This window comes from Homo sapiens, chromosome 15 (genome assembly GCF_000001405.40).
Source record: "Homo sapiens chromosome 15, GRCh38.p14 Primary Assembly".
Classification (NCBI taxonomy): domain Eukaryota; kingdom Metazoa; phylum Chordata; class Mammalia; order Primates; family Hominidae; genus Homo; species Homo sapiens.
In genome coordinates this window covers 97309479-97332772 of record NC_000015.10, presented here as the reverse complement: position 1 = coordinate 97332772, position 23294 = coordinate 97309479, and the positions used below count along the sequence as shown (strand labels likewise).

The 23294-nt window shown below is 36.6% G+C and overlaps 2 long non-coding RNA genes across 5 annotated transcripts in view; one reads left to right on the top strand and one right to left on the bottom strand.

Annotated features, from left to right (window-relative positions):
- The window catches only part of LINC02253 (long intergenic non-protein coding RNA 2253), a 197799-nt gene that overhangs the window by 99318 nt on the left and 75187 nt on the right, over positions 1 to 23294 (bottom strand). The window lies entirely within an intron of this gene.
- LOC105371006 (uncharacterized) overlaps positions 13452 to 23294 on the top strand; it is a 47150-nt gene continuing 37307 nt past the window's right edge. The window contains exons 1-3 of the long non-coding RNA NR_188334.1: positions 13452 to 13537; positions 15077 to 15129; positions 20723 to 20801. This is a non-coding gene — a long non-coding RNA (uncharacterized LOC105371006). The remainder of the gene's footprint in view (positions 13538 to 15076; positions 15130 to 20722; positions 20802 to 23294) is intronic.

Sequence of the window (23294 nt, the reverse complement as noted above, 5' to 3'; positions counted from 1 at the left end):
AGCCATGGCTGAAGCGGCTAGGATGTAGGGCTCCAAGTCCCTAGGCTGCACACAGCAGGGGGACCATTTGTTCCTTCTAGCCCCCTGGGAAGGGCTGATTGGAGGGGCTGCTGTGAAGGTCTCTGACATGTCCTGGAGACATTTTGTTCATTTTCTTGGTGAATAACATTCAGCTACTCTTACTTATGCAAATTTTTGCAGCAGGCTTAAATTTCTTCCCAGAAAATGGGTTTTTCTTTTCTATTGCATTGTCAGGCTGTAAATTTTTCAAACTTTTATGCTCTGCTTCCTCTTGAATGCTTTGCTTAGAAATTTCTTCCACCAGATACCCTAAATATCTCTCTTAAGTTCAAAGTTCCAAAGATCTCTAGGGCAAGGGCAAAATGCTGCCAGTCTCTTTACTAACACATTGCAAGTGTCACCTTTGCTCCAGTTCCCAACACGATCCTCATCTCCATCTGAGACCACCTCAGCTTGGACTTCATTGTCCATAACGCTATCAGCATTTTGGTCGAAACCATTCAACAAGTCTCTAGGAAGTTCCAAACTTTCCCATATCTTCCTGTCTTCTGAGCCCTCCAAGTCTCTAGGAAGTTTCAAAGTTTCCCACATTTTCCTGTCTTCTTCTGATCCCTCCAAACTGTTTCAACCTCTGCCTGTTACCTAGTTCCAAAGTCACTTCCACATTTTTGGGTATTTTTACAGCAGTGCCCCACTGCCCATACCAATTTACTGTATTATTTCAGTCTCACCACTGCTATGAAGGAATACCCAAGACCAAGTAACCTATAAAGAAAAGAGGTTTAATTGACTCACAGTTCTGCATGGTTTGGAAGGCCTCAGTAAACTTGCAATCATGGCACAAGACACCTCTTCACAGGGCGACTGGAGAAAAAGTGCCAGCAGAGGAAATGCCAGACGTTTATAAAACCATCAGATCTCTTGAGAACTCACTATGACGAGAACGGCATGAGGGAAACTGTCCCCACGATTCCATTACCCTCCATTGACTCCCTCCCATGACATGTGGGGATTATGGGAATTACAATCCAAGATGAGATTTGAGCGGGGACATAGCCAAACCATGTCACCATCTGTCCTGAATCGGTGCTGGGGCCTACCTATTGGCCTTTTTCAAGAAAAGATAGCTACATTGATTGCAGCTCTTGGTTTTCAGATTATAAAACAGAGCATAAATCTCTTCCCACATTGTCTTATTTCTCTCTTGAAATGGTTACCCCATATATGCCACAGACAGCCACTCTCTTCCCTGTCCCTGGACACTATATGGCTGTAAAAAATGTTTACTGTCTGTCATGTTTTCATGTCCCTTCCTTCTCACTGCCTATCCAAATTCAGCCCATCATTCTAATTTTTTAGAAGTTTTTTATTTTTATTTTTACAAATAATGAATTACAATATGTCTGTTTTTCTGGAACTTTGTTTTTCATACTCAGTAGTTTATCATGAATACTTATTAATCTAACTCATTTGTTAAACTAGCTGCACAATATTATACAGTATTAATGCGCCATGATTTCAGTCCACCCTTCTTGGATCCACCTCCCTCACAGAGTCTCCTCCGAACCCTGTGACCCACATGGGCTTTCACATCTGACACCTCTTACTTACACACAGGCTGGAACAATGTTTTATGTTAGGCTCTAATTGGTATGTTTGTATGAAATAGTAATCCCTTGAAACTTGGAAGTGTAACTTAATTTTTTTTACCCTCATGGTATCTAGGACAATAAGTATAAGGTTATGAAATACATTAATCCCCTTAGCTGCAAAACTACATGAAGCATATTTGTCTTCCCAATGTCTAATACAGTGCCTGGCATATAGGAAGTGCTCAATTCACGTGTATCCAGATGAATGAATGTAGGAATGAATGACTCAATTAAACTTGATACTCCTGTTTGGAGAAATATTTTAATCTTCTAAAACAGCAATATCTGAATTCAAATGTGGCACCTTTTAATCTCCTTTCTCTTTCCTCCCTCTCTGCTAGGGCTGTTCTTACAGAAAAGAATATTGCATGTGTATGATGTTTTGACAAGGGTTTCTATTAATAGAATCTAAAGAAAAAATGAAAGCAAAGTGAAAATCCTATAAATGATTTTTTTGGAAGGTTGGAAAACTACTTTAAAACTAAAAACAATCTTGCAAATTAATTCTCAGGTGATGGCAGCAAGGAAGACATTATCTCAGAGTTCAGAACTAACCCTGGAGCGGGAGGGAGGCAGTGGCAGAGGCCACACTTTAAGAATACTAGAAAAGATTTTATGACAAATTAGGCTCCAGATGAAACTGCTCCTGATGTTACAGGCCATCATTATGCACAGCTATGGAATGCTGGTATGCATTAATAATAAAGATCAGCATCGCCTTCTAGGGAAAAATAGAGTCTTCCTTTAATTAACTTAAATTTTTTATCAAATTGATTGAAAAGCTCTTATCCTTTTCAATTTTTTTTTCTACTTTCAAGTTTTTTATGCATGGGCCCAGAGCAGATTCATCCTAATCAGCTGGTGTTTTGTAAATGGCCTACTTGCTTTGTGGTTCAGAAACAGTGGAGCAACAAGGAAGAGGCAATGCAGGGAATGGAGTGGGAAAACGGAAGAAAACCTATGCAGTCCACTGCAAGAAAAGAAAATGTTATTTCCTTACAAGCAAGCTATGGGCACAGCGTTTTCTTACACTAAGGCACCGAAGGGCAGTTATGTTTTAGCAGATGACATGGCTACTATGAACTCTACATCTATACTTCTTAAATCAGGAGGACTGCGGTGGGCATCCCTTGGAAGACCATTTCTACCTACTCTTCGTGTGCATGTGTATACAAATATATGTTGATTTATTTTCTAACTGTAGCTGCTTGTGTGTAGGCCACTTCTTTCAGCAGAGGTCTTAAAGTCAATGGCAATTCACCTGTCAGGGGACATTTAAGGAGACTCCTCATGAACCCACAGGTGTTGGAGTCACTTGCATTTGAGCTGGAGCCGAAACCATGAAGGTAAATAAAATCATCTAGAGGGAACAGCAAGATGAGAAAATATTCAATGTGTCTGCATTTATCTTCATTTTTCTATGAATCTGGGATAAGCTTTACTTGATACATTTTATTTCATACCATGTCCTAATACTTGTGGTTCTCTAATAAGATTAAATTACGTGTATACTTCTGGGTTACAAATAAAAATTAAGCTCATTTTAGTAACAGTGGTGGTTAAAATGCTTAAAGTCATTATAATTGAACAATGGGCAATAATAATTTGGGGAGGCCATAGCTTAAGGATAAAAATGGTGACCCCCAAATAGTCATTCACCTCATCTACTTGCTCTGGTGTTAAATACAGTTTCAGGTGGGGCCCTGGTTATAAAACTCTTAAGTTATGAGCCACTGGAAACGTGATAAATGATATAGACCTTCTCCTCATAAAAATCATATATACATAAGGCTGGGTGTGGTGGCTCACGCCTGTAATCCCAGCACTTTGGGAGGCCAAGGCGGGCAGATCACGAGGTCAGGAGATCGAGACCATCCTGGCTAACACAGTGAAACCCCGTCTCTACTAAAAATACAAAAAATTAGCTGGGCGTGGTGGCGGGTGCCTGTAGTCCCAGCTACTTGGGAGGCTGAGGCAGGAGAATGGCGTGAACCCAGGAGATGGAGCTTGCAGTGAGCCAAGATCGCGTCACTGCACTCCAGCCTGGATGACAGTGTGAGACTCCCTCTCAAAAAAAAAAAATCATATATGCATATACATGTAACATTTTACATACTATTTAGAGGGCGCATTAAACTCCTAAATTCCATCTGTAGATTCCAAGTTAAGAAGTGCAATAATCTTTAGCAAGTTTCAAAAGATGATTTTTCCATCCTTCCTAATATGTGAGCTGAGTCCAGAAATGTATCATTGACAGTAAAAGAAGAGCCCTGTTCCATCCCTTGATTCCCAAATCCATGAGCCTTTGCTATGTCAGAAACAATATTATATGTTGACCAGTGATGTAGACCATCAAACACGTTGTGGACAACATTATCCTAGGCTTGGTGATGCTGCCTACCTTGCCTCAAAAGTCCACCTCACTATGGTAATAGGCCACCTGTTTCAGTGTGATGAAAAACATGGTTAAGACTAGTGAGTTAATGAATATGACTTTTTTCACTCTCTCTTTCTACACACACACACACACACACACACACACACACACACACACACCCCAGATATATTCCAAGGCATTGCTTCTGATCAACGATGATGCCTCAGAAGACACCGTGAAGCTGTATAGGACAGAGGCATCATGAAGCTGAGTTGAAGGGGATGAAATGGGAATCACCACCTTGGATAGTTCAAATTCTTGGTCATGTCAGGAATCTCTGTAATCACTCCAGAAATGTCTATTTCTGCTTAATACCATGGTAGCTAAAGGCAGCTTTAATGCCTTCCACTTTCCTCTTCCTATCATAATAAACTTCACTCCAAAGATCAGGGACCCAATATAGAAATTTTTCTAGTTTCTAAGTATGCCTATTTTAACTATGGTTTCTGAAACTGGGGAGTAACCCCAGCATGAAGCCATGGTCCTACTGAGCTCACTGTGAGAAGAACAGAAGCCAAAACTCCACTGATCTCCCAACCTCAATAAGCACCCATACCAATGGTGGTGTTTTGGGGTCTCTGTAATTAGTATCAGCTCAGTGCCCAGCAACCCCTGAAAAGTCTGGTTATTTACCCCTTGTTGGTGGACTTCACCCTGGTAAAGAGGTTCAGGTACCTCCGGAGAATGCTGGGAGAAAGGATTATGCTATACCTTTTTGGTAGTGTAGTCAGATCCTTCCTAAAGAGTACTTGATTCCCTTGTCCCCTACCTTTATGCAATTTTACACTGGGACTGTGAACTGGTTCATGTCTGAGGATTTTGTGGAAATGCCATGTCTCTTAAGTGGGTGATTCATTCATACTTCTTTTCATCAGACATGGAGATTTTCTACTTATAAGCATAAAGTAAAACAGTAGAGCGATGCACAACTATTTAATTTATAAGAATGCCTTGATCAATCAGCCAATACCAAAGATCTCTGAGGGTCGAATCCTTTTGATTACTACGATGGCTCTGCTGTCCCTTTTGGTCACCGCATACATCTTGTCTCTGGTGATTAAGTACTTTCACTTAAGCCCTGCAACCTTAAGTTTCCATCATCTTTGTTGAATTCTAGGAACCCTGTTTGTCACTCTTGTTTTTGGCCTGCAGGGAATAGCCACCAGAGAGCTCTTTAAGGATGCTGTCACTCTGCTCACAAATGTATTTCTCAAAGCTTTCATGAAGAAAAGCTTCTCTAGCCTCTTTTGGAGGACATAGGGGATTAGTAAGCAGGTCTCACAGAATAAATTTGCTGGTATTTCAATTTCATTCAGTCCACATATAGTTCCATATTTCAACCATCCAAGCAAGCAAACTGTTAAACACTTTAGTCACTCTGTTTAGTGCAACCTTATCTATAAATTGACTAGATCTGACATTATTTTTTTAACTCATAAGCAACCTCCCTAGAATCCATTTCTACTCATATATCCCAGGGTATTTCAATATAAATTGGAAAATCATGCAATTTTGTTGTTCTCTGACAACACTTCTCTGGTTATAGGTCCAGAAGGAATGAGAGGAGATTGAGTTAGATGCTGAGGAGTTTAGTACTCCCCTTCAAGAAAGCTACCAGGAAGGAGCCAGCTATAGGTTTTTCAAGGAAGGGAGAATGATCTACTGAGGAGAGGAAATATTGCTTATATTGGAAAGAAAAATTGGCAGACTTTAGACATTCACGGACCTCACCTTCATTGGAACCTGTCCATATGACCCTATCTTAAGTTTCAGGGTCTCATTCCTTCTCAATTCGTGTCCAAAGTTCATATGATTTTGCATGGTTGTGAAATCTATATCAAATATAATTAAGTTACCCACAGAAATAGACTTTCAGTTAGTTTTCATAAATGTAGACTCTGTGGGTCTTCAAATTCTCTACTACACTTAGAAAGTCAATCAAATCCCATTATCCTTACTTTAAATGAAATGTGCAATGGCAGCAGATACTTCACAACCCAAATCTCATACAAAAATCTCTTAAGAGAATTCTTAAGTGGTTACAAGAGGCTGTGGGCTGGGGGGTTAGGGGCATGTTAGTCAAATAAGGCAAAATTTCAGTTAGGAGCATTAAGTTTAAAGGATCTACTTACATCATGACATCATGGTGAGTGTAGTTAATAACAATACGTTGTATTCTTGAAAATTGCTAGGAGAATAGATTTTAAATGTTCTCACTACACACACACAAGATTAAGTATGTGAGGTAATGTATATGTTAATTTGCTTGATTTAGCCATATCACAATGTGTGTATGTATGTGTGTGTGTGTGTGTATATATATATATATATATATAAACACCATGCTGTATATCATAAATATATACAATTTTTATTTATCAATTAAAAATATCAATTGCAATGCAAAACAATTAAAAAAAAACAATCTTACATCTTTGGGGCTTAACAGCCTCAACTTCACTGAAGATAAAAAAAAAAAGAAACAAAATCTCTTAAGACCATCTCTAATACAGGTCTACACAGGGAAAAGAATCCTGGGAAATCTCGTTTTGGTTGCATTTTAGAGATAGTTAATGGGCAGTTAGGATTGGCACTCTCTACTGTATGACTCCAGAGCTTAGGGTAGAGTTGATCTATAAATTAAAAAAAGTAAAATCAGAAAAGCCCACTAACTTGCATCATCCCCTCTCAATCCTGGCACAATTTATTGAACAGCTACTTTGTGTCCAGCACTTCATTGCATGTTGGGAAGATAAAGAGAAATGTAAGCCAGTCTCTGTTATAGTTCTCATCTTTTTCTCAATTATTCTTCAGACAATTTATTTCATTACTGTTTTTCAAAGCTAAAAGCAGATCTACTATACCCTTGTCAGAAAATCTCTACTCATGTTGAGTCTGGTCTTCATGTATATACCAGAAGCGTATACCAGACCGAGGAGTAAAACTTCCCATCATGTATTCAACTCATACTGTAGGATCTTAAATCCATATTTAAAATCTCTGTGCTTTTATTTTACCTAAAAGTTTTTGATTTTGTCCTTTCACTGTATTTCTCTATATTAAGTCATTATTTCTAACACATTTTCCAATGGAACATCTGCCCTTGGGAAAAGAGTTCACTTCAGTCCTACCTCCCCACCATACATCACTGGAGCAAAATCTAAGACAGGAATAGAAAAAGCATTGAGACATCAAAGGCTTAGGTTTGTGAATCATATAATATTGTCAGTCATTTTGAAGGATCCCATTATGACACTGAAATAGAAATACCATGATTAGGTTATCAGAATTTCACTCATTTTAGTCTCTGTTATTAAAGAGGACAAAGAATTAAAGTATGTGTGTCAGGGATACATCAAATTGCAAATGTTCTTCAAGGGTAAATCAATATTATAGGGTGACCATTCTGCAGGAAAAGTAAAGAGATATGTAAATATGAATAAGTTATTTTTTGTCAAATAAACATTTAAAACTCCTTTTCCTGAGGCTGTGATCTCTTAGAAAATGTTTTCTGTCTAGCCATTTACTAAGTCACTACCCTAGGACCGTCCTCATCGTGGTTTGCTCCCATTCTTGTTGCCTCCAGTGGCACCTGTTCAGTCTCTTTAATGTAGAAAGCCCTACAGAATGCACCCAAGCAAGATTAAAGGTCTCCCCTGACGTGGAATGAAGGGGGAATTATACAGTTTGCAAGAGAAAAGATAATAAAGGAGTGAGTCTATAGACATACTTTGATGAATTATATAGAGACAATTTTCTGTCATTAGTAATGTAGGGCAGAAGACAATGTTTCTGATAGATAGATGTAAATTCATCATCCAGGCTCCATTAAAGAGAACTACAAAAGATCTGTTGATTTGAGCATTGCTTCCAAGAGCTATCAGGTAATGGTAGCAGGCCCCTTGCATGAAACTTGGACACTGCAGTAGTTGAAGGCTCATTTGGATGAAATAGCCACCTTTCCAGGAATGTTGTAAGTAGTAAGAAACCATATGGCAAATTCAGCCATCTGGATCAATGACTGTAATACCAGACCAATGGTTTGGCATTACATGGTAAAATAAATATTTTACAAATATTGCCTTTGACCACTGAATTAACTCGTGTTATAGTGAAAGGCAATGATTATGTCTTAAAGAAACAAACATTCATTGAAAATTTTCCTCTAAGAAATTACGGATCTGCCTGTCCTCCCCATACCCCATTCCAGAAAGGAAAATCCTAGATAGAAATTATATTTTACAAGTGTAATACAAAGAAGTATCTATCACAACAAATGTAAAAATGCCTTTTCTTTATTTCATTCTCATCAGGAAAAAAAAGAGCATTATCTCTGTGACTTCCTAATATTTTGTTGTATTTTATCTGCAACCTATAAAGCCACTATCTGCCATTATATATAATAATGAGAAGTCCTTCTATGCCCAGATGTTTGCTGTTTTACAGGAACCCAGTATCCTTTATCCACCTCCCATCCCACTTCTCTGCCAATCCTTATGGTGCTTGTCCATTTCACAATAAGGGAGCCCCAGGAGTCCATGCGAGAGCATCAGATTTAATCACTTTATGCAAAGTCAACATAGAAGTCCAGATAGCAAGTTGAAAACCCCATATTTCTTAATTCAGTATCTTGCTAATTGGTACACATTGTAAATTAGAACATGGGTGGTGGTAGCTGTTCTTTTCTTAAAGTTTCTGAAGAATGAGAACATTATAAACTCCTTTGAAATGACAGAGCAGTGCTCAGCATTCTTACCTCCAGTCTAAATCTGGGCCCCTTTTTCTTAATTTGTATGAGGGCAGTGAAGCTCTTTCATCCTTATCAGTGATGAAGGATCCCTCTGAGAGCTAAAGAGAAATTATGAGCCCTTTGCTCAGAAAAGCATCCGAGTCCACACACAAAATAAATACATTTGTGGCTAGGCGTGGTGGCTCACGCCTGTAATTCCAACACTTTGGGAAGCCAAGATGGGTGTATCACCTCAGATCAGAAGTTCAAGACCAGCCTGGTCAACGTAGTGAAACCCTATCTCTACTAAAACTACAAAAATTAGCGGATGTGGTGGCGCACCCCTGTAGTCCCAGCTACATGGGAGGCTGAGGCAGGAGAATTGCTTGAACCTGGTTGCAGTGAGCCAAGATCATGCCACTGCACTCCAGCCTGGGTGACAAAGTGAGACTTCATCTCAAAAAATAAATAAATAAAAAATAAACACATTTGCATACAATGTTAGGAAATATATAGGCTCCCTGGTGCCCACCCATTAACTCCCCATCCCTTATCTGTAAATAAGTACTGTGGAAAGTTCTGATGTTTCAATTACAACATACTTTTCAAAAAGATACATATTTATGTAGAAATTAATAATAAAACCTATTACAAGTAATATAGTAAAACAAGTGAGAAATGGCTTAGAAATCAACAAAGGTCAAGATGAAGATTTTTAATGGAGGAGAACTTAAAACCTAAGTAATAATAAAGCACTAACATTGTTTGAGTCCTAATTATTTCTCATCTGAATTGATAACTCTGCCTTTGGACTAACCATCATTTATTATTTTCGAAACAGTTGTGGGGATAATTTTTAATAAAATAGTGTCATTCTCAGCCTCAATATCTTCAGCCTCCCTTTTGCACGTGAGGAGAGCAGAACATGAATGAACTCTCACACACAGGTCCCGCTTTCCCTTGCAGAATCACACATTATCACTCCCTACAGCGCATTGTGCACTTCCAAGTAATTTCAGAATATTTGAAATTCACCAAGGCTGACAAATTATCTCACATTTCTGTTGATATTTTTAAATGTTACCCATTTATCCTGTAATGTTTCCTTGTCTTCCTCCACTGCCTGACAGGTACATATCCACCCAGAATAACTTCCTCTAGGAACTCTTTTATTGCTATTTTCACCATACTCTCAGTTTCCTTAATATTGAACGCTCACTGCTTAGTTTCTCATTCTCCAAATTTTTAATCATACAACACATCAATGAAGAGTTTTGATTATGCATCTTTATCACACAAACACATACACCTAAAACACACATGTATTACTACGTCAAAGCATTCTGTTTAATTAAAAAGTTCCACAAGAAAATAAATGTTAAAGGATTCATGAAAATGAATCAGAGGGAAATGCGAATCAAAACCACAATGTGATGCCACTTCATACCCATTAGGATGACAATAATAAAAAAGACAGGTAACTGCAAGTACTATCAAAGATATAGAGAATTGGAACCCTCATCCTTTGCTGGTAGAAATGTAAAATGATGAGGCCACTTGGAATATAATCTGGCAGTTCTTCAAAGGATAAGCATACAGTTATCATTCCTAAGTACACACATAAGAGAATTGACACCATATGTCCATACGAAAAGCCTTATACATGAATGTGTATAGAGATATTATTAGTAATAGCCAAAAAGTGGGAAAAAGTCCAAATGATCATCAACTGATGAATGAATAAATCCAATGTAGTATTTTCAATAGAATATTATTTAGCAATAAAAGGAATAAAGTACACATGCATGTTACAATGTGGATAAAACTTAAAAATATGCGAAGTAGAAGATGCTGGTCACAAAAGACCATATACAGGATGAGTTCATTTATGTGAAATGTCCAGTATAAGCAAATCTAAAGAAATAGAAAGTAGATAGAGGCAGAAAGTTGTTTGGAGGTTACCTATGTCTGTGCCAGGGACGGAGGTAGGGTTAAGGAAAATGAACAGCAGCTGCAAATGAGTAGAAAATGTCTTTTTGGTGTGAAAATGTTCTAAAATTGAGTGTGGTGATGGTTGCTTAACTCTGAATATACTGAAAATATTACACATTGAATGGGTGAATTACATGATATATGAGTTATATATAAAAATTATATTAAAAATAAATTAAGATAGGATTTCTATTATATCAACAGATCATCTTTTACAGGGGCCTCTGGAGTGTATATACCATAATCTTCAAATTTTATATTTAGTAACTGCTTCTTTACTTGATTCTTCTTCAGAGTATAAGACCCAGAGCACAGCAATTTTATCTCACACTTTAAATTCTTTATATTTAGCGTATCTAGTAATATAAATAATGAGTACAGAATGAATTTATTGATTGATTAATTAACCAAAGAGCTAACCTTTCTCCTGCCCTAGAATTCGTCAAAATCTAAATTGCAGCTTATTTCTAAAATTGTGTTAAAAGACACGTTACACAAAATTCACCATTTTAATCATTTTTAAGTACACAGCTCAATGGCATGAAGTGCATTCACAAAACTGAATCTCTGTACCCACTAAGCAATAAATTCTTATTACGTTTCCCCTAGTTCCTAGCTACCACCCTTCTGCTTTCTCTTTCTGACTTTACTCCAAATACTTCATTTGGTGCTATCATCCACATTTGTCCCTGGCTTATTTAACTTTTCCCAATGTCTTCGAGCTTCATCTACATTGTAGCATGTGTCAGAATTTCCTTCTTTTTTATGGCTGTATAATATTCCACTTTATCTACGATCACATTTTGTTTATCTATTCATCTTCTGACAGACACCTGGGTTGCTTCTACCTTCAGCTATTGCTAATAATGCTGCTATGAACACAGTGGTACAAATATAGTGTCCCTGATTTTAATACTTTTGGTTATGGGGTGAAAATTAGGGATCATGTGGTAATTCTAATTTAAATGTTTTGAGAAACCACCATACTGCTTTCCATCCCAGCTGTACCATTGTTCATTCCCAACAGCATTGCATAAGGGTTGCAAGTTCTCCATGTTCTCAGAAACTCTTGTTATTTTATGTGTTTTTTATGATAGCAATCCTAATGTATATGAAGTAGGATCTTATAGTTTTGATTTGCATTCCCCCATGATTAGTGGTTTTTGAGCATCTTTTTGTATCTTCACTGGCTGTTTGTATATGTTTGGAGAAACAACTAATCAAGTCCTTTGTCCACAAAACAGATCCACAGCCTAATTTAGCTCCTAAGAGCTAAATTATAAAAGACTTAGAAGAAAACACAGGGGGAAAGCTTCATGTCATTAGATTTAACAATGAGATCTTGGCTATGACACCAAAAGTGCAGGCAACCAAAGAAAAAAATAGACAGATTGAACTTCATGAAAACTTTTAAAAATTATACATCAAAAGACAATATCAACAGAGTAAACAGGCAAGCCACAGAATGGGAGATAATAATATTTGCAGTTCACACATCAGAAAATAGATTAATATTCAGAGCATATAGAGAACTCCTGAAACTCAACAATAAATTTTGTTTTAACTGTCAGAGCTAAGGATAACTATCAGAATATTTTAGTATCACTCCTCACAGCAGCTGTACTGCACTTTAAAAAAAAAAACAAACTATATTCTCTCAACTCATACTGGGAAGCCTGAACTTATGTGTTAGTGGAATCTAAATTCTGAAGGCTGGAAGTATTGAAGGCATAACTAGAATAAGAAGCTGTATTTCCTTTGAGTTTTTTTCTTTTTTATCATTTTTCATTTTCTCTCTAGTATTACAAATTAGCAGATGAAGAAAACAGCTCTCTGTGCTTATGTGTGTGCATTTAGAAGTAGAGCAGGCATTTTTATCAGCTAGACAGTGAGCTTTTAAAGCAAATTAGTAAGAAGAGAAGCAGGGAGGTCCAAATAAAATCTACTCAAAGTGGAGAGCAATTGTAATGGGGCTGGGGGTGGACTGAAATATTGATTCCTAATACTTACTCTCTTCGTTATTACACGCAGTGACAAAAACTATCAAATTATAACCAGAGGCCATTTTGCGGGAAAGGGCAAGAGAAGAGAACAACCACAGATGGAAACTGCCATCCAATTTTTGTAGCACAGTAGTGACGGCGACAAAAGGTCAGCAAAGGGGAAGGTAAATAATGTAGGAACAATGCTGAATCTGGGTTCTGATTCAGGCAACAGGAGCTCAGGCCTGCATGCCTACTTTTTGATTTTACCATGGCTGGACTTTCAGAAAGACAGCCCTAGTCACACGCCTCCTCATCCCACCTTTTTCATCTGTCTCATCCCTCCCATACGACTTCTGCCAGAGAGCACCTAGCAAAATGCCTCTCGTACACAACCAACAGTTACTCATCTACTAAGGTAAGGTATGCCAACATTGTATTATCTACTGAGTGAATTATTAAACAAGGGTGGAAGGGAAATTAATGAAGCAATGGAAAACCTGAAACTTAGAGTAATAATTTCCTTCCCCCCGACAAGGGGGAACAGGATGTTAGCGCTTAGCAAATCAGGTGTGTCCACACTTTGATCTTTATCTTGGAGATTCTTTTACATTATGAATTCTAGAACAGTGGTAAGTGGTAGCTTCTACAAACAGAAATTTACTGCCAATGAAATTAAATGTGTGGCTACAACATCAAACAACCAGAATTTAAGAATTATTACGTATGTTCTTTTCTTATCCTATATATAAGAAATAAAGCTTACATATTTACATAATATTCATGTTTTAATCTTTTAGCATTTAAACTAAATTCCCACTCAAATGAGTTAGTGAAAGATTCAAAAATTTCTATTTTGTCTCTTCATTTGTTAGTATTATTCATAACCAAAATAAACATTAAACACAATAGGCATCCTAATTTTTTTTTTTTTTGAGACAGAGTCTTGCTCTGTCACCCAGGCTGGAGTGCAGTGGTGCGATCTCGGCTCACTGCAACCTGCACCTCCCTGGTTCAAGCAATTCCCCTGCCTCATCCTCCCGGGTAGCTGGGATTACAGGCACACGCCATCAGGCACGACTAATTTTTTATTATTTTTAGTAGAGATGGGGTTTCACCATATTGGCCAGACTGGTCTCGAACTCCTGACCTCAAGCAATCTGCCTGCCTCAGCCTCCCAAAGTGCTGGGATTACAGGCATGAGCCACCGCAACAGGCCAGCATCCTATTTTTTTTAACGTAACTACAGTGTTGACATTCCTGATTATTATTTCATAACAAGAAAACTGAAGGCCACGCTAGTGTAAAATATGTGACCTCTTTTTTTTTTTTTTTTTCTACTAAGAAGCATTAAAGACGATGCAAGTTTCCTTTTGGAAGAAGAATCTTTTTGCCACCAAGCTGGTATTAATTTCCTGTTCAAAAGGGGCTACGTTGTCAATGTGACACTTTAATCAGCCCCCAATGTGACTGGGAAATGCCGACTTCACAATCAATGTCAATGTATTTCATGTCGTCTCGATACCTCTTAGTCATTTTGCTTCAGAAGTGCGTGAACAGGGTCAATATATTTCATTAGTTTGTTTCATCTGAAGGAGAGTACAACACGAGAACTTTGATTATATTATAAGAATTGCTTTAATGTGACACCGATTCCCTGATTGTGCTATACCAGACATTCAAGGGCTGGAGGGCAACAAAACCATCTTTCCCCTAAACATTCATCCAGCCACCACCAGCAAAATGTGCCGCAAATGAAAGAAGAAAATAAGATCCAACTCAATTTACATAGTGGAGATGAGATTATGCTGTCATAAATGCATTATAAAACAGAATCATGGAGATTAACTTTGAAGAATGCCAGTGAATAGTAACAATTCTTTTCCACTGTCTAATTGTAGCAGTAAAAATATTTATGACTCTAAAATTTAATAGTTATTTTCATAGTACTGCTACATAATTAACTGCAATAGAATGTTTGTGCATTCTTTCTCAGTGAATTTTACAGCTTCATGACTATCAAACAAATACGAAGTGACTGCATTAGTCCCATCTAATTCTTCCTTTAAAATTATTCAATGGCACTTTTATCCAACAATCCTTGTTGTTTACATCTGACCTCTTTCTAGATGGAGAGGCTACCATCCAGCTCCTCATGAAGTGGATCTTGTAGAGTAGCTATTCACTTTGACTTTTATTATAAGATATGGTATATATTTCCTTGTATTTTGCTTTGTTTCACTGTTTATCTCTACCATTTCAGAGAACAGAATAAAGTGAGGGTCTGAAGAATTATCCATAAAGCATGATCCTTTCGTAAGTCAATTTCTGAATGCAGAATTCCTTTTTGCTTAGACTGTGTTTTGTTATTGCACTCTAGCATGTTCATTTGCCATCTACGCGCCTGCAGATAGAATTATTCACAGTAAACATCCAGGACATACTTTCTTGTTTCTGACCTATACCCCATTCAAATCTTGTCTGAGGTTGGCCATGGCTTCTTGGAGAAATCCAGATGCCCCTGCCCTTATGCTATGTGCTGATTTTTGTGGCTGAGACTTGACTCTTCTTTTTCCAAAAGACTTGTCTGGGGTTTGCCATGTCAGCACTTCCTGTTTTATATCATCATGCTGGAGAGTACCTAGCCAGAACTTCTGGCCAAATCACTGCTCGGTATCCCTTCCAAAGTCTATAGGTATTCAGGAGACAGAAGTCAGATATACTTTTACTGAAATCACATTTTTTCTTAATATCTTCATTCCATTTCTTAAGAAAAAGACTGACATAAAATACATTCTATTATTTTAAAAAACAAGCAATGTTATTGACCTTTAATGAGTATTGTCTCTCCAAAATACTAAAAGAAACCCCATAAATGCAGCTTATCTTGCACTTAATGCATTAGTATCATAAAACACAATTTTAAAAAGCCATGTCATTATGGTCTTTTATGCTTCTTAGGCATTTTCATTTCACAAAGGAAATCAGCCTTTTTGCCAAGATAAAGAGAATTAGGGAGAATGAAATTTTATGTAGCAATATTTTACTCCTATTCATAAATATTTTTTGAATTTTAAAGTCTGTTATTAAAAAGTCATCAGTAGTTCTGCTAATAGCTATTATCTTTATTTTATCACAGAGTATAAAGACAGATATTATTCACTAATGGTTATAAGCGATCATAACCAAAGTAACTTTTAACACAAGATTCCAGTAAAAATGTCTGTTAGGTAATGCTATACTTTAGATGTTTATTCCCTCCGAATCTCATGTTGAAATTTAATTCCCAAAATTGGAGGTGAGGCCTAATGGGAGGTGTGTGAGTCATGGAACTGGATCTCTCAGTGACAGATTGATTAATGCCCTTTCTTGTTGGAGGTGAGTGCATTCTCCCGCTATTAGTTCTCTAAGTGCTCTCTAGAGAGCTGTTTGTTGAAAGGAGTCTGGCACCTAACCCCATCTCGCTTGCTTCCTCTCTTACCATGTGATCTCTGCACAGCCAGCTCCACTTTGCCTTCTACCATGAGTGGAAGCAGCCTGAGGCCCTCACCAGAAATCAAGCAGAGGCTGGTGCCATGTATTTTATACAGCTTGCAGAACTATAAGCCAAATAAGCCACTTTTTAAAAATATATTACCCAGATTCAGGTATTCCTTGATAGCAACAACAACAACAAAAAAATAGACAACAACACTCAACAAGTAAACAACTGCAAGAGTAATACAGAAAAATATGGTGTCTATCTTAAACAGATACAAAGAGCATATGCACAGTGCTTAGCAGTATGTTAGAGACATTGTCAGTTCAAATGTCTTTGCTAGTAACAAAATGTCCAACTAAAAGTCATATAAAGTTTATTTTTCACACATAACAAGAAATCTGGAGATAAATGAATGTGGAATTGTGACTCAAAGAGAACTTTGTTCCTCTTTTCACACAGACACCCTTATCATGCTATCTGCAGCCTTGTCACATCAAGGATGCAAGGTAGTTCCAAGCATTTCATTCACATGCATCTTTCAAAGAAATAAGATCATCATGGATTTCCTCATGCACACCATTTCATTTAGCTTTGAAAACAGTGCTTCCCAGAACTTTCCTGGAAGACATTCTTTTTACTGGGACTTGCTTGCTCACATAGCTAACTTCTGCCCTACAGGAATCTAGAGAGGAGTAGCCAGAATTTTCTGCTTCTATCATGAGACAAAGGAAATAAAAGGGGTAGGGGATGGCCATTGGGTAGACAACCAACAATATATTCAACAACATGAAAGTTTATGCTCAGTAAATCCTTAAATCTAAGAATAAAAATACAACTATTAGTTTATTCAATTTGGAGGGAGATCCTCTATAAAGATAGGGCAAACAAAATAATCATAGTCTTAATTTAAGAAAGACTGGATTTAGGGCAAGAATCATGAGACAAATGAAAGCACTTTAAAATACTGAGGTTATAGTTACATTGGAATGCTGTGCCAACTTTAAAAATAATGAGACAAATCTTTAGATTGTTTTAGGGAATCATCTCTAAAATCTGTGTCTATGATTACACACACATACACATTACTGAAAACTGTGTAATGCCTGAGAGTATTAAAAATGTATAAACTCACCTATAACTACATACACATTTATGCTTGCAAATGCATTGAAAGTTTTAAAAAAAATTATCCAAGAAACTTATGACAGTTTCTGGGAATCTGGATGCCTGGTGAGCAAGGAGAAAAATAGACTTATTTTCTAATAAATATCCTTTTGTATCTTCTAAATTTTATGCCACATGGATAGTTTAACTATTTTTATTTCTCATAATATATTTATATATAAATGTGTGCCTATATATCAATAAATATCATAAACAGATGTAACTTTTTATTTTAAAGGAGGGTAGTAAGAAAAAGAGAAAAGATGTATGGCACCAATAATAAGGAAACCATTAAAACTTCTAACTGTGCAAGATTAGAACAGGATCCAACCCAGACTATGAAAAAATCTAAGTGATGAAAACACAGCATTGCTCACATGCTATTTGATAGAGAATAATTGGTCTAAAGCAGATTAATGATAGATTTTCTTATTGATATCTTTAAGAGGATGTTGATTTCTGTTTGTATATGCAAGTCCAGTTTATTATAATAAATACCTGCCTAGGAGAAATAGAAAGCATAAAGAGGTCCTTTTATGATTTTATGCAGTGCTACTTCCTCCATCTCACCAGATAGAAAATAATGACAATGGTACTAATGATGATAATCAAAAATATTCTTAGTGGTGATGCAGTATTCCTCAATTTTGTAACCATAGATAAGTTTTTAGGATTAAATAACAATTATAAATTTAAATTGAGAGGGTACAAATTTTGACTATTGAACTACACCACAAGGAAAGCAACTTTCTTCATTTTTATGACTAGCATTAAGGGAAGCAATAATATGGCTGTGAAATAGCTAATCAAACTTATGGATACATTTCTGGCTTATGGGTACTTTTTCCTCTTTCCTTTCCTTTGCTATCCTCTCATTTCTTTTAAATGATTAAAGCAGGAGGTAATTTTAAACAAACTTTTTTTGAAACTGATCATGGACAGTGATTTTTGCCACTTGCAGGTCTTTCTATTCTAGAATTTAATCTAGTTATAAACTTGCCATATCTCAATAATATTGTCGGTACAGACAATAACACTCAGCAAATATATTTTAAACTCTCAGAAATTCAGTCACAAGATCGGTTACAACTTTTGCTATCAAGGGAACTTCCCAGGCATATTCCAGTTTGAAGATTCTGCCAAGAAATCTGAGCTCTGTTCAAAGTTCTAGCTGTCATTTCATGAAAGAATCCTGGAATTTTAACAGTTTAAACAAAAAGCCTTCTAACATCTTCCTTTCCCACTGGGAATACACTTCCAAAAGCCTCAGAATCTGATAAAACATTTTCTGGGACTTCATTAAATTTTATTTCAAACATATTATATGTTTAAATGTATATACGTGTTTTCCATGTGACCAATATTTTATATAACAGAAATATATGTAATGATAGCTGCAAAGAAGAATGAAATGGGCATATAAAATGGCCATACGATTTTATTTTTAAAACTGCTGCTTGAATGCCTGATTATTTAGTTGCATTTTTCACTCATTCCTCACTCCAATTCTCAGTTTGTTATTGTTATTACAACTTATTTCCTATTTAGTTACTCTGTAGTCAGCACTATTTTAAATCTTGGGAAAAAAATCTACAGTTTCTGTGACTTTGCAAAAGTAATTTAATTGACTCAGGACCTGACCTCCAAACTACAGCGATGCGATTAAACTGAAGCAGAGTACCAATCATCTGAAATTCCCTTATAATCCTCCACAGAGGCCAGGTTTGCTGGTGCCCATATTCACGTAGAGGCCAAGTTTGCTTGATGAATGCGAAGGATTGTTCAGTTGGCCAAGCAAGTCAATGAACACAATGTGCCTGTTACACTAGGATCTTCCGTCTAAGTCAATGGGGTTGTGTCTCCAACTAAAGGAAGGATGGGAACCCTCTTCTTGGAAAGACTTAAAAGTTATTACATTTTTTAGAGAAAAGTAGATGTATTATTTATTCATAAGGCCAAACTTATGATGAATGAGAGTAATTAATATGCTCCCTGGTTAGAATGGGTGGCAGAAAGAATTAGCTGAGGGGTTAAAAGAAAAGTTTATCTGTGTTTAGTATCTCAGGAAATAAGGTTACCTGTAGTAAATTAAGTGTTTTGGTGTCTCAATATTACTTGCTAGCTAAAGCATTTAGCACTAGCTTTAGCATGACAAGTAGGAAGAAAATCCTTAATATTTATATTGCATTGGTAGGAATATAAGGCTTAATGTAGAGTTCATAGAATTCCTTTTATAAAATGGCTTGTACAGCATATGATATATTTAGAACACTAAATGAATTAAATGCCTCCAGATGAAGGTTGCTGCTGAGCATGACAGTGAATGAGCCACAATGCAGATTCATTGATTATCTTAATTTTAAGAGTCAATAGCAGGCCCAGCCTACTCTGAATAGATATTCTCTACAACAAATGCTCTCAGTCCCCTCACTAGCATGTCAGATCACTTTTGTGATGGCATTTCGAACTCTGGAAAAGAAAGACACTGTGGAAATTCAAGGTCAGGTCTTATTGTAGTTGTTATTACTGTAAAAACATAACCAGCCAGAATAGATTACTTTAACTGAATTTTTAGTTTAACTGAGAGTCATCCAAAATGCCCTTTTTAAAAACATCTGTAGTTTAAACATGACTTATATGTATTAATCCTGTTTCCTCTCTTAGACACTGCAAGCAAAAGCGAAGTTTTTTAAATGGCTCATCATTTTGTAAAAGCTCTTTTTTTTGTTATTTTGAATGAAATAACATTAAATGAAGAAAGGAAATTGGAATAAAAACAAGATAAGCACTTTTCCCAATTTTGTCATTCGCTTGCTCTGTGATCTTGAGCTTTTCCTGTGTTGTGACTCAGTTCCCTTCTAACCAAGAAAGTTACACTTGTCCTAGCCACTTTCCAAAGCTGTCAAGAGGTTCACCTTTGCAAAGAAACATGCGTACACTTTGGTTAGCATAGAGCATTATAGAAATATTAAAGATTCTGTGGTTAGAGAAAGCAGACTGAGCTAAATATATACCAACCCTAGATTATACCCTAAGGGGGTGAGTTTCTGTTTGATTCATTTTCAGTAGTTCTTTGCTACAGCATTAAATTATTAATAAGTTGCATCTGTTGCCTAAAAATATAATTTGAAATCATATCTGCCAATAATCAATGATTTAACCTAGGCTCTAGTTTTTAAAAGTTTCTCTTGGCTGCCATGTAGTGAGTATCCTTTATGTCCTGGATATCATGCTACACGAACCTTTTGTAATTCTTATCCACAGTAGGAGATTAGAAAGAATCCTGATTTCTTGCTTCTTATCAACAATGTAGAACTTTCTTCTGGTTCTTTCCTTGTACAAGGTAAGCAGTGTGAACCTTTGAAAGGTCATTATGAACCTCCAGTTAACCTTCCAGCAACTGTCCTAGCCTTTCAATTTTATGTTATTATGTAAACAATAAAACAATGAAGATTAATTTATTTTAATAATAAAGAACTTCATTGACAACCTGCTTATGGTTAGACACTATGTCAATTGCTGAAGACAAAAATGAAGCTCACATCACTTGTGAGGCTGCCTTTGTCTCTGAGGAAGCAGAATGAGTAAGTAAATAAATACAATACAGTGAGCTAACAACGATGGCAAAATTATGAATACTGTACTAGGAGACCATGCACAAGGAAGAGACAAAGTCAGCTGGCAGTGTTAGGGAAATTCTTCCTAAACAAGAATATATTTGGTGGATGAAATAACATTGTTAGTTGGAGAAACGGGTGTCATATCCAGGATCAATTTCCATGTGGATAGAAGCATAGACATGAAAATGTGAATCTTTTCTTGAGAATAATTGCAGCTCTGTTTTGTGAGAGCTGTGGGCAGTGGGAAGAGGTACAAGATGAAAATGGGTTTGGGCCATATTATGAAGGACCTGCTATGCTGTTCCCAGGAGTATGGCTTAAGATGCTAAAAGCAATGGGAAAATATTCAAGATTTCCAGTAGGAGTATGATATGATCTATTTTAGAAAGTTATGTAATATATGGAATTGGTGGTAGAGTTAGGAAGATGTAGAAAAAAATCTACGTTTTGGGACAAAAAAACGAGGGTCTAAACAAAAGCAGTTCTGAGACATTTTAGAGTAAAGGCATAGTGATCCTTTTGTTCTAAGGGAGAGAGACAGGGAGAAGTTCACGTGCCACACAATAGTTTAAGTGGGTAATGAATGATAATGACATTAACAGTAATAATGAAGGCAAATATGGGAAAAAAATACTCCTTTGGGACTTAGTATCAGTGATGCTGTAAAACATCAAAGTGAAAATGTCCAGGAAGCAACTAGAAAACTGGATCGATAGCTCAAAAATAATAGATGATGTATCTTTGTTCATCAGCAGCAGCTGATGTTACTGAAACGGATGGAAGATACTGAAATCACCCCAAAACATGCTCCATTAACCTACAGAATTAATAGTTTCTCTAATATATCAACACTTACTTTCTTCTGTAGTCTTTCATAAAAATGGGTTTCATGACACTAGGTTATTATTTTATAGGTGTCAACTGTTACTAAGGTAATCCTAAAATTTAAAGTATAAATCAAATCAGGGATGCTATTAATAAATATGCTTAAGAAACAGGTGCAGACTGGGACTGTTCCTGACACACTGAAACATAGGATTATGCTAATTATTGTCCATCAATTTTTTTATAACCCTTTATCATTCTAGAAGATCCATGCATGCCATCATTAACTTGGATAATAGGAATTCAATTTTGCTCATCTCTGCAAACTGCATTTCTTTCCAGATACATACTCCTCTTGTCCCTTTTTAATAGCATCTTTTTGGTTTTAATCCCAGAACTCTAGGGCTTCAATTAGCATTTTGTAAACTGTGTCTTAATATTTGCAATTGGTAACTGTGTATTAGTCTGATTGTGGTGATTATGAAGATATTATTCACTAATTAATGTCAAAAGTGAAATATATATGAAGTTAATTTAATTTAAAAGTAACTTATGTATAAAGATTATTGAGCATAACTGCTTTCAAATGTTACCGAAAGCAAAGAGACCTTTAACTTAAAGTTTTATGGCTGGACTTTCTGGACCTGCATATTAGATGCTTGAAATTTGCCACACTATGCTAACAATAAGTTAAAAATAAACAAACTTTAAAAATGTTCAACTCTTCTTAAATACATCAGAGAGTAAGATCACAGGGAATATTGCTGCCTGTACAAATTAGAAAGGCAGACAGGCAAGTAAAGAGAATTGTAATTTATTAGAGGAGAAATCCATGAACAGAAACCTCCATGGGAACATGTGCCTGGGTAGGAAAACCTAAACTGTGATTGGTGGATTTTTGGAAACTCAGTGTGAATAACTCTGAGGGTTAAAAATCAGGGGATGGACTCAGTCATAGGAGGAACCCCACACAGTAAATATCAGAGAAAAATCCCCTTATGCTTCCAGCAGGAGGAGGGGAAAGGAACCACTTTGAAATATGCCAGAGCATCCTGTTCTTCTAGTCAAGGCCTGCCCTCCAAGATAAACTATTATTAGACTCTAAGCTGCTGTGACTTTCTCAGAGACTACCCTACCTCGGAGAAGAAAAATATCCAGTTCCAGCCTGCTACATCTTTCCACGTGGAGGAAGAAAGATACCCAATTTTAGCTCACTCTAGCCATTTGGCCCCACCTAAGAGGGGACAAATCTTGCTATTTACTAGTGAAATTCACAACCAGGGACATAAACTCATCTAAAGGCTGAAACCAAATCATAGGACTATAATATACTTTCTTTTCCACACATCTTACTACTACTTTAAAAAAGACATGTTTACTGCAGCTCCTTT